The sequence below is a fragment of the Homo sapiens genome, chromosome 5, assembly GCF_000001405.40.
Source record: "Homo sapiens chromosome 5, GRCh38.p14 Primary Assembly".
NCBI classification, from domain to species: Eukaryota; Metazoa; Chordata; class Mammalia; order Primates; family Hominidae; genus Homo; species Homo sapiens.
The window spans coordinates 75,570,889-75,583,267 of NC_000005.10; the positions used below are offsets into that span (position 1 = coordinate 75,570,889).

General features: G+C 34.5%; 1 protein-coding gene across 28 annotated transcripts in view; it reads left to right on the top strand.

Moving 5' to 3' along the window:
• POLK (DNA polymerase kappa) overlaps nt 1–12,379 on the top strand; it is a 99,218-nt gene that overhangs the window by 60,115 nt on the left and 26,724 nt on the right. For 15 of the 28 annotated variants that reach the window (NR_170560.3, NR_170559.3, NR_144315.3 and 12 more), the window contains 3 exons: nt 2,850–2,981; nt 5,892–6,045; nt 10,321–10,560. Coding sequence is in view for 23 of the 28 variants with exons in the window: in XM_054328417.1 (XP_054184392.1) it covers nt 2,850–2,981; nt 5,892–6,045; nt 10,321–10,560 (526 nt within the window). In the remaining 5 variants the exon portion in view is untranslated. Of the gene's footprint in view, nt 1–2,810; nt 2,982–5,891; nt 6,046–9,667; nt 9,710–10,320; nt 10,561–12,379 lie in introns of all 28 variants that reach the window. The other 13 variants (XR_008485566.1, XM_054328411.1, XM_054328410.1 and 10 more) reach the window with 3 other exon arrangements.

Genomic DNA, 12,379 nt, shown 5'->3' on the forward strand with positions numbered 1-12,379 from the left:
GCAGGCAGCTGATAAGTCTGATTCCAAAACACTGTTTTTTGAAAGGAAACTCCCCTTTCCTACAAATCATCAATAAATATTTCAAAAAATATATTTAATTTTATTAAGATATAACACCATAAATTTATGTATGTTTATGTATGTGTATACATACAAACTTGCTGTAGCCATGTTAAAGCTAAACCAACTGCTTTTGAAATCTACAAAATATTTTCTTTCCTACAATTTCTGTCCTCCTAAAAATCAGTTATTGTTTCTAAATTCAAAATTATTGTTATATTTAAACAAAGATTACCCCTTTTGTATGTTGAACAAATAGTTTTCCCTTCTACTAAGCATAACTTTTTGTCCTATTAAACATATGAAAGTATATCTACAAATTAATGGGAGTGATTGTTTGATTATTCCCACTGATAAAATTCTTTTTTGGCGAATTTGATGGATTTTTGAAATGTTCTAACTTGGCACTGAGAGTTGCAACTGAGATCCTACAGCAGTTACCTATTGCTGCATAACAGCCTCCCCCAGTATTTAGTGGACAGCCAAAATTTATTTGCTCATGATTCTGTAATTTGAGCAGAGTGCGATGGCGATGGCTCAACCTTGCTCTACCTGGAGTTGGCTAGGGCAATTTAACTGAGGCTAAAAAATCCAAGGTGGCTTCATTCATAGGTCTGGCACTTCGACTGAGGAGATTGGAATGGATTCCAGCTTCAGAACTTTCTCCTCTCCATTGTTGCTTCAACATTTAGTAATCTACCCCAAAATATTTACAATGGTTGCTGGATTACAAAAAGCAAAAGCCTAGGTTTCAGAACTCAGTGTCACTTCCTTCACATTATTTTTATCAAGGCAAGTCACGTGGCATGAGGAACTAGAACCCACTTTTGATAAGAGTAACTTGTAAAGTATTGTGGCTGTGATCTACAATATACCACAAATCTAAAAGTTAGAGAAATTCTTATTTAAAAGTTTGTTTGTCCTCTGCTATAGATCTAGCTTTTATGTCAATTATATTAAACTTATTTACTAAACCATTGGTTTTGTTTCTAGTGCTATCCACATTTTCTGTTCCAGAACACTGACCAAGGATTAGTATAGTTCTGAGTACTATCAAGATGTTTTAAGTGCCATTTGAAAATCATTAGACGAAAATTCATATTATTCTGAAATAATCCCTTCATTTGTTTCTGTTTTGCATTTCTTTGAAATTTCACTTGAGATTCTAAATAAGGATTTAATTTGTGATAAAATTTGTTTTATAAATAGTACTGTGGTCTACCACGTTCACATAGACTTTCATCAGATATCATCACCAACAGGATTTAATAAGCAATATTCTCCTTTTTACTCTCATACTTTTGTAGTTCCATCTCCTAGTCAAAATGTTTTCAGCAAAAAAGATAATTAAGCCTTAAGAAAAACCTTAATTTCTAAACTTATTTTAAGCTTTAATCACTTCATTTTGGAGACTTAATTTGGCTGACCACATAGACCTTTTATTTTTGTTCTAGATGAAAAGTTTCCAAAATCCCAAATAGACCAAATTCGAAAAGTTTACTATTATACTATACTATTACTTTATATAATGTAACATCTATACTAATTGTACTATACTATTATTTTATGACTATTCTATACAACTTACCATACTATTACTTTCATGTAACATAACTCACTATCATCCAAATTTTGATATTCATTCTATAATAAGTATGCCTTAAAACCAATGAAGTTTAGTTGGTAGAAATATAAGAAAATCTTTTTATTAGCACAGTCTTGCTTATACCTGGTATCACATTATAAATATAGGGATAGTAATGGGAGAGGGTCATGGTATCAAAATACCGTGACAGAATAAGTCAAAACTTGGATTAAAACAGTGGCCTATAATCAGAGAAATGCAAATCAAAACCACAATGAGATACCATCTCACACCAGTTAGAATGGCGATCATTAAAAAGTCAGGAAACAACAGGTGCTGGAGAGGATGTGGAGAAATAGGAACACTTTTACACTGTTGGTAGGACTGTAAACTAGTTCAACCATTGTGGAAGTTAGTGTGGCGATTCCTCAGGGATCTAGAACTAGAAACACCATTTGACCCAGCCATCCCATTACTGGGTATATACCCAAAGGATTATAAATCATGCTGCTGTAAAGACACATGCACACATATGTTTATTGCGGCACTATTCACAATAGCAAAGACTTGGAACCAACCCAAATGTCCAACAATGATAGACTGGATTAAGAAAATGTGGCACATATACACCATGGAATACTATGCAGCCATAAAAAATGATGAGTTCATGTCCTTTTTAGGGACATGGATGAAGCTGGAAACCATCGTTCTCAGCAAACTATTGCAAGGACAAAAAACCAAACACCACATGTTCTCACTCATAGATGAGAATTGAACAACGAGAACACGTGGACACAGGAAGGGGAATATCACACTCTGGGGATTGTTGTGTGGTGGGGGGAAGGGGGAGGGATAGCATTAGGAGATATACCTAATATTAAATGACGAGTTAATGGGTGCAGCACACCAACATGGCACATGTATACATATGTAACTAACTTGCACGTTGTGCACATGTACCTTAAAACTTAAAGTATAATTAAAAAAATATATGATAGAATGATGACCTTGAGTCATTAATAAAAAACAATGCTTAATACATTCTATTTTTGGAAAACAACAAAAACAAAAACAAAAAACTGGCCTATAAATGAAATGTCCTTGAATTGAAAATGCACATATTAATGTGTTTCTTATGAATGCATTGATCAATATGTCCATTTAGGTTTGTGTATTTTTTTCCATGTGGTCAATTTTCTTTCAGTCTACTTCAAATTACCATGCAAGGAGATTTGGTGTTCGTGCAGCCATGCCAGGATTTATTGCTAAGAGGCTGTGCCCACAACTTATAATAGTGCCCCCCAACTTTGACAAATACCGAGCTGTGAGTAAAGAGGTAAGTTAATGTCTCACCCCTACTTTAGGCTTTCACTGAGTTCCTGTCACCTACAGAATCTCAAGTCCAAGTGCCTTAGCACGTAGGATTTGGTCTTAGCTTATCCTTTCAGTTGAGCCTCCTATCACTTCTTCAGCTTGTATATTGAATACTGAGCTGCATATAGCATCCAGAATACATCATTCTTTTTCCCAATTCTTTGCCTTTCCATGCAGTTTTCATTTGCTTAGAAAACTTCCCATTTCCTCAAACTTTGAACTGCCTTAATGATAATATAAAATTAAATTTAGCTATTTTTTCTTAATGTACAATATACATTTTTTCTAGAACCACATTTTATTTATAACTTACAGAATCTACTCATCATTAATTTCAACCTATTGTCTGAATAATTACTTATTAATGTTGTTAAACAGTGACAAAATTCATGTATTTTGATTAGCCTACTTTACTTGCCCCATAATCATTTGCTGTCTAAGAGACTGATAATTGAAAAGGGAGTAATCCATTGCTTCAAAAAGGATCTTTGAAGTAGATTTGATTATTTACTAAAATTGCCAAACTGTCATATGTGAAAACCGCCATTTTTTCTATTTTTTATGACAACTGGTCTATCATGCAGTGCTGGAATTTAATTTTTGAATTAAAATTTTAGACTACTACATCAAATACTTTTAGACTGCTATAGTAAAATGTGTTTAAGACTGCTGCCTGAATGGAAACACTTAAAAAAACTGTGACCTAATACTTATTACTCTTTAGTTATACCAGGGGTCTTTAAATTCACCCCTCTTATTTGTATTCCACCTCATTTTCCCTAGAAGTGACACTATTCCAAGTTTAAACACAGGTTTGTTTGTTTTTTTTCTGTCCAAGGCAGTCTGTGACAGCAAGTGCTTTTTGCATACCTCTGAAAAGGTGGTGGAGGAGAGGGGAGCACACTTACATTTGGTTACTGCTTATCTCTTTCATTGTATTCCTAATTAAAAAGAGATAAAATACTAATCATAAATATAGCCTTTTAAGAAGTTTTAAAAATCCTACAAAAGTTTAGTAAGAAAAGGTATTTTTTAAAGTCGTACTTTAACTCAGCAAAACTTCTGGCAGTATGCCAGTGAAAACCAAAGTGTTTTTAGTTATTTTAGTCTGGTTATTTATGTAAGTCAGAGAACTCTTCAAATTTGAGCCGGATCTAGCTAGTTTATATGCAGATAACAAATGAGTTCTTCTGTGTAAATGAACTGTAGAACAAATTCATCACTGCCTATGGATACATAAATATTCATGACTTGGTTAGAAAATTTAAGAAAAAGCCCTCCCGTTTTTTTTGACACAGGGTCTCACCCCATAGCCCAGGCTGGAGTGCCGTGACTCGATCATACCTCACTATAACCTTAAACTCTTGAGTTAAGCAATCCTCTGGCCTCAGCCTCCTGAGTAGCTAGATTGACAGGCATGCATCACCACACCCACCTAATTTTAAAATTTTTTTGCAGAGATAGGGTTTTCCTATGTTGCTCAGGCTAGGCTTAAACTCCTGGCCTCAAAAAATTATCCTGCCCAGGCCTCCCAAAGTGCTGGGATTACAGGCATGAGCCATCATGCCCAGTTAGCCATTTTTGTTTTATCCAAAATATTGGAGCTTTAAGTGCTTGATTTTTACTGGAACGTCTCTTTTAATTCTTACAGCAATATCCTATGTAAAGGAAGTTAATAAATACTCAACAGTGTCTCTAGGGAGTACTTCTCATTCAGAATCTTAGTTGGCTGCCAGTTACAGACTTCACAGAGTTTCATTTTCATTGGAAAGATTCTATTTGAGCACATTATAACAAGAACAAAGCTAATTAAGGCACTCTCTGAGTAAAACTTGGCCAAGTTTATATCACCATTTTCTAAAATTCCCTTTGACTCAGCTGTTCATAATTATATTAAGCTAAAAACCTTTGTTTTTATAAAAGAAGAAACAGTTTTCTCATGATACAGTAGACAGTTTTAAAAGCTAAATGGAAGCTTAACGTAATTCAGCAAATATGTTTTCTAATATAAATTTTTTTTGAGGCAGGGTCTCACTCTGTCACCCAAGCTGGAAAATATGCATATTATTTTGACAACCATTGCCTCTAATTATAGCTAATACTTAAGTGGTTAGAAAAAAAAGTCATAGTTTTATGTAGTAACACTATGTTATATAAAAGGCATTTCTGAATTAAAAGCCACTATAATTCTAATCTTTATATGTATTTCTTTTATCCTAAGATGTTACTCCAGACTTTTCCCCATCATTTAAGGTAATCATGGAGTACACTATAGATTGTCATTTTTTTCCATTCCAGATCTTAATAAGTAATAGGAAATAGAAAACATTCCTTTTCCTGTATGGATTAATGCATTAATTAATGTTAAGTGGACTTTTATGTGCATGTTATAATTAATTGGAATATTTTCTAAAGCAACATAGTACCTTTATATAAGATTATTCCTTTTTAAAATGAACCAAAAACAATAAATCACAAAAGGCAGGAGGGAATAGAATCCTATCATTCCCACTTCAGCTTCTGACGAGCTACCTAAAACCTTAACCATTTTTTTGTATGGGCCTACCAGATAATGTTTTCTGAGATTTATTTGAATTGCTTATTATAACTAGATATAGGTAGCTAAATAGAGATTGTATCAAATGAAGCTATTTTATGGTCTTCTGCCTTCATGGTCTATTTTAATACAAAAGGAAATTTTGAAAATATTCCCTGGTAGTGGATTATTTATTCCTTAAATCCATGAACTATTGACTGCAGGATTGTTACTGTAGTTGCAAACTAAGAATATTAACATTTCTTATCAGCTACATATGACAGAAGAAGTTTGCTATCACAGCAAAATTTAAACTTTTTTTTGTTTCCTTTGAAGGTTAAGGAAATACTTGCTGATTATGATCCCAATTTTATGGCCATGAGTCTTGATGAAGCCTACTTGAATATAACAAAGCACTTAGAAGAAAGACAAAATTGGCCTGAGGATAAAAGAAGGTATTTCATCAAAATGGGAAGCTCTGTAGAAAATGGTAAGCAACTTATTAAGACTATCAAACCAAGAAGCAGTGAAAAAAAAAAACCCACAACTCTTTGAATTAATCCAATTAATTTATTAGCCTGCATAGGTAGAAGGGATAGATATGTACCTTTATAAAAATGTAAAATCAGAAAATTTTAAAAATACCAGTGGGTTTTCTGAGTTAAACATGTGGAATATCACATATAAACAAAATGTGATTGTTAAATCTCTGAGCTTAAGAGTCTGCAGAGTCCCTGAACAAAGTAATTTTATAGCAGTTATTTTCCTAAGGTCTAACTAACAAAGAGTTTGGATGGCATTGAAGCTGAGGAAGTTGTCTGTTTAAAGCGGCCTTTTCTTGTTGTTAGAAAAGACTAGCCTCAAACATATCAAAACATTGGATGATTCTATTTTTCTTCATTTTCCTAATTTTCTATAATCTAATTATTATAGCAATTATGACTGTTTTTAGCTCTGCCAAAATTAATGACTTCCCACTCCCTTCTTTGCCTTAGACTTTATAATTTCAAGACTCCAGGGTTTTTTTAAAAAAATAATCCCTTTATGACCTATCCAAAAGCAATGCCAAGAAACATGCAGATATTACACATACTGCTTTCAACATTTTGTCAAAGGTATGATTATGTCTGAGATGTCCTGGACCCCTGAACAAAGTTCACCTGGATGAAAAAGTGACACAGAAGGGTTTGCTCACAACCCACAGGAACATTTCATGTGCACCACTCATTGCTTCAGACGGGCCAGGCAGTGCTGGGGAGACCTGTTTGTAACTTTCCCTGAAGCAAAAATGGTAGATCCACAATGACATTAATCTAACTCTCTCACATTATTTGTGACTCACATCATTTGATGCAAGTTTAATATGGGCATCAAATACAACTTCATTACCTTATTTAAAGTGCTAAGGGATAGCTCTCTCTTTTTTTTTATAGGAGCATTAAACAATAATCATCATTTCTCGACACAGGCACAGAGCAAAAGGTTTTCCTTATTTGGTGTAACTTTATTGTTTGAGGATGTGGAACATAAAGCCTGATGTCACTTTGTATAAAATCTTACTTTATTAATTCCTTACTTTCACAAGAGAATGGGGGAAAATCATTAAATAATTATGTCAAAGCATCCCCTGAGGGCCTCCCATAACAATTACTTGCATGATGTGTTTTAAAAGCTTTACATTGGGATTAAAGTAAATGTTTTCATTTTCTACTAATTTTTTTCTTTTTTTTGAGATAGGGTCTCACTGTGTTGCCCAGGCTGGAGTGCAGTGGTGCAGTCTCAGCTCACTGCAACCTCCGCCTCCTGGGTTCAAGCAGTTCTCCTGCCTTAGACTCCCAAGTATCTGGGATTAGAGGCGCGTGCCACCACACCCGACTAATTTTTTGTATTTTTAGTAGAGGTGGGGTTTCACCATGTTGGCCAGGCTGGTCTCAAACTCCTGACCTCAGGTGATCTGCCCGCCTCGGCCTTCCAAAGTGCTGGGATTACAGGCATGAGCCACCACGCCCAGCCTACTAATGTTCTTTTCATTTATTATAATGTCCAAACTCACTATGAATATGTGAATTTTTAATATCTATTGCTTTTAACATATTTACTTGTATATTGCCCTCTTCGTGTATTTTCATATTCTTAAACAATTGGAATAGTTAAACTTTTCTTCTCATGTGTAAATACCTGTGGGCTGGACTTTCAGGCGTGTCTCACCTCACATCATGCCATGGGAAATTGTCAATAGTGCATTGGAACTGTGGAAGGCAATTGATATATCTTCCTCTAAAGTCCAAGACATTGTTTTGCTGTTTCCCCATTTTCTAAAAGGTGTTTGTCTTTGGAAATATATTGCTAACTACCATCTCTACATACAAATAAAATAATAATTTTTTAAATGTTTACTCTCCCATGTAAATCTGGATGGTGAGTGCCAGATAATATAAGAAACTGAAATACCATACACTTTTTAGCACTTGTCTTCCAAATGAAATGCTTTAATCCTAGTGTTACATTCTGATTACCTTAGTTATGGGGATTATAAAGATGTTTCTGTCACAAAGCAAATAAGAAACTACTTCAGCTCTTAGTTACACAGCCAGGCCTCACAAAAAAGTAGAAAGTAGTTCAGATTGAAAAGGTACCTGAACATTCTGCAGCAGCTCTGATAATGTGTGAGAAGGCAGCATTCTTCACTTCCTGCTGTATAGTTCTGCTCTCACAGTGGCTCACCTGAGGGCAGGGTGGTAGAGGCATGAGGTACAAAACATGGCATAAAAAACTCTGCAGAACGGGTTTATGAATGTGGCAGATAACTTACTTGGTTTGCAGTTTTTCTGTAGCTTTCTTTACCGTGACTTCTACCCATCCAGATGGGGAAAAGGGCTCCAGGTAGATACCATTTCAATTGTTTCACAGTCTTTATTTTTTTTTTATTTTTTTTTATTTTTTTGAGATGGAGTCTCACTCTGTCACCAAGGCTGGAGTACAGTGGCACAATCTCAGCTCACTGCAACCTCTGCCTCCTGGGTTGAAGTAATTCTCCTGCCCCAGCCTCCGGAGTAGCTGTGCGCCACCATTCCTGGCTCATTTTTGTATTTTTAGTAGAGATGGGGTTTCACCATGTTAGCCAGGCTGGTCTCGAACTCCTGACCTCAGGTGATCCTCCCACCTCAGCTTCCCAAAGTGCTGGGATTACAGACGTGAGCCACCTTGCCTGGCCTGTTTCCCCTCTGAATTGTTCTACATTTTAAAACCAGCATATTAAAAAATGACAGGAACTGAAGCACATAAATATCAGCTAATGTAAGTTTGAAAATAAGGCTTATTGGCGAGGCAAGGTGGTTCACATTTATAATCCTAGCACTTTAGGAGGCTGAGGTGGGAGGATCAGTTGAGGCCAGGAGTTTGAGACCACCCTGGGCAAGATTGTGAAACCCTATATTTACCAAAAAATTATAAAATTAGCTAAGCGTGATGGCTCGCGCCTGTAGTCCTAGCTATACTCCAGCCTGGGCAAGAGGGAGACCCTGTCTTAAAAAAAAAAAAAAAAAAAGAGAGAAAGAAAATAAGCTTATTGTGTATGTGCCCTGGGAATTCAGATTTGGAAAACATCTGACTGAATTAACATCTATGACTTACTTCACACTACATATTTTAAATTTTTAAATTAATCAGATGTCTGTCATATTTATTTTATATTATCTTTAAAATTTTTTCCTAAACAGCCAAATACATTTTTCAAGTAATATACATTCGTATGCATCTTAAAACTAGAAATTTAATTTTTTCTTCTGTATTGACCTTAATTTGGAAAATATTTATATGTAATAAAATTACGAGATGGGATCAGAAAGCTTTGTTGCTAACCTTGGTTGTTATAAATACATTTAAATTGTATTTCTTCTACATTAAGCCAAGAAAACAGGCTTTAATAGATTTGTTCATGGAGACATTTTTAGTATCAGTATAGATTTAAGAATATTTTACAGTCCATTTATGAAAAATATAAATATAAAGAGGCAATAACCAGACTGGTATTTTTACTTTACTTTGTAATAATAGTTTATAGCCTATTAATAATAACGTCTCTTTTTCTTAAACTTGGATTATCCAATCAGACCTTCAGAATTTGTATATTCAAAGAAGCATAACTTTCACAGGTAATTTCTATTTATTACAAATGTGCCCTTAGTCAAAGTGATACTTTATAAACAAGCAAATCAAAATTAAAATCAGCATTTGAAAGAAGAAAATTCAGATTATTTTAACATCTAAAAGGTTTCTTCCATAAATGAAGAAAAGTTAAGTGTTTTTCCTTCTAAAAACAAAACTTATTTTCAGTATAATTATTATATATTGTTTATTATATTCTAAATTCTAATTTTCGAAGATTCTTTTTCTTCCTAAAGAAGAATAAAGAAAAGATTTCCTTTTTTTTTTTTTAAGAAAAAGGTAATGTGAACTGAAACCTAATTCTGAATTTCAATTAATTTAGGTACGAACATTAGTGAGTTTTACATAAGATATTTCCTTTTAATATTTATACTGTGGAAATGGATAATAGTCTTTTTAAGAAAAATTCATAATCAGTGTTCTCTTTAATGGTTATAAAACATTAAATGATAAATGATGGCATTTCTGATCTTGGATCCTAGAAACTAAACTAAACTAGATTTTTGTTTTTGTCTTCAGAAATAATGTAGGGAAACCTAACTTATGAAGTATATACTTCTTAAAATAAAGGTGAGTTATTTTCCTGTTTATGACTTAGATAATCCAGGAAAGGAAGTTAATAAACTGAGTGAGCATGAACGATCCATCTCTCCACTACTTTTTGAAGAGAGTCCTTCTGATGTGCAGCCCCCAGGAGATCCTTTCCAAGTGAACTTTGAAGAACAAAACAATCCTCAAATACTCCAAAACTCAGTTGTTTTTGGAACATCAGCCCAGGAAGTGGTAAAGGAAATTCGTTTCAGAATTGAGCAGAAAACAACACTGACAGCCAGTGCAGGTATTTAAAAGAGTATTGATGGCCACTGTAGTTATAATTTTCAGACTGGCTAATTTAAGTGTAATATTAGTAGTTTCTCATTATAAAGTATATAGTAACATTTTACTTACTTAGTCTTTCATTCAACTTCTAACAACTTTACCTATTCAGAATAGCTGTGAACCTAGTAAGTAAATTGGAATTAAGCAGACTATGAGCCTGAAGGAAAAAAAAGATTATACGTTTCTTTCTTTTTTTTTTTTTTTGAGATGGAGTCTTGCTCTGTTGCCCAGGTTGGAGTGCAGTGGGGCGATCTCATTCAGCTTACTGCAACCTCTGCCTCCTGGGTTCAAGCGATTCTCCTGCCTCAGCCTCCCAAGTAGGTGGGACTACAGGCGCATGCCACCATGCCCAGCTAATTTTTTGTATTTTCAGTAGTGACGGTGTTTCACCATGTTAGCCAGGATGGTCTCCATATCCTGACCTCATGATCCGCCCACCTTGGCCTCCCAAAGTGCTGGGATTACAGGCCTGAGCCACCGCGCCCGACTCATAAATTTCATATAGCTATCTTTTTCTAGCACAAAATATATTTTTATTGGTTTTGCATGTAATAACTTGAGTATTAGTTTTTCCTTGGGAGACTTCAATCCTGTCCAAGATTACATTGCAGGAGAGAACCCAGACGGCCACAAGGTAAGAGACAAAAGAAATACTAACTAGCAACATAGCAATCCAGAACAATCTGGTAAAAGGAAAAACAAATTTACATATGTTGATAACCCATGAGGCCATCACTGTCTCTTAACATAATAACTGTTATTCATCATGAGGACCCTGAACTATCTTGTAAAAGCCATATTGTGATTAGGTAAATCTTTTCTTTCTACACCAAAGCATGAGAATGAATAATGCATTTTAGGAAGATCTATATAACAATTAAAATGAACTGTTTAATGAATATATTTGAATATAGCTATTTCAAATTATCTTAATTAGGACTCCTAGAAATTGTGAAACATCTTTTTGAAAAATAGTAATTTGTTTTGTGAATAACATAAAAAGGATACACCATCTAATTATCATTATTTTAAATATACTGTAACCAGAATCTTTGATTTTTTGCTTTATGTGGATAATCTACGCAAAAGACATTTTCAAAGAGTAAACATCCACCCTAAATTATATTCTGTATCTTTTCTTAGAGATAGATATAGAACCACTATAAAAACAATCTGGGCTGGGCATGATGGCTCACGCCTGTAATCCCAGCACTTTGGGAGGCCGAAGCTCGTGGACTACCTGAGGTCAGGAGTTCGAGACCAGCCTGACCAATATGGTGAAACCCCCATCTCTACTAAAAATACAAAAATTAGCCAGGCATGGTGTTGCGTGCCTCTAATCCCAGCTACTCGGGAGGCTGAGACAGGAGAATCGCTTGAACCCAGGAGGCGGAGGTTGCAGTGAGCCAAGATCACGCCATTGCACTCCAGCCTGGGCGACAGAGCAAGACTCCATCTGAAAAAAAAAAAAAAAAATCTGTATTCCTACTAAAGGTAGTAAGTAAGCTAATAGTAACACTTAATATTGCTTAGCTCAGAAATTACTCTTACATTTTAAAATGTCATGGAGAATTAAATATTTCTCATTTTTGCTGCCACAATGACTGTAACTAGTACAATTTATTTTCCTAAAACCATAGCAAACCCTGGGGAGATAGATGGTAATCAAATGTTATTTTTAAAGTAGCATTATATATCATTTGAGATTTTTTGCAATTAACTTTTTTTTTCTGTTTTGTTATTGCATATTTAAAAGTCATACATATCAACTTCTTTGA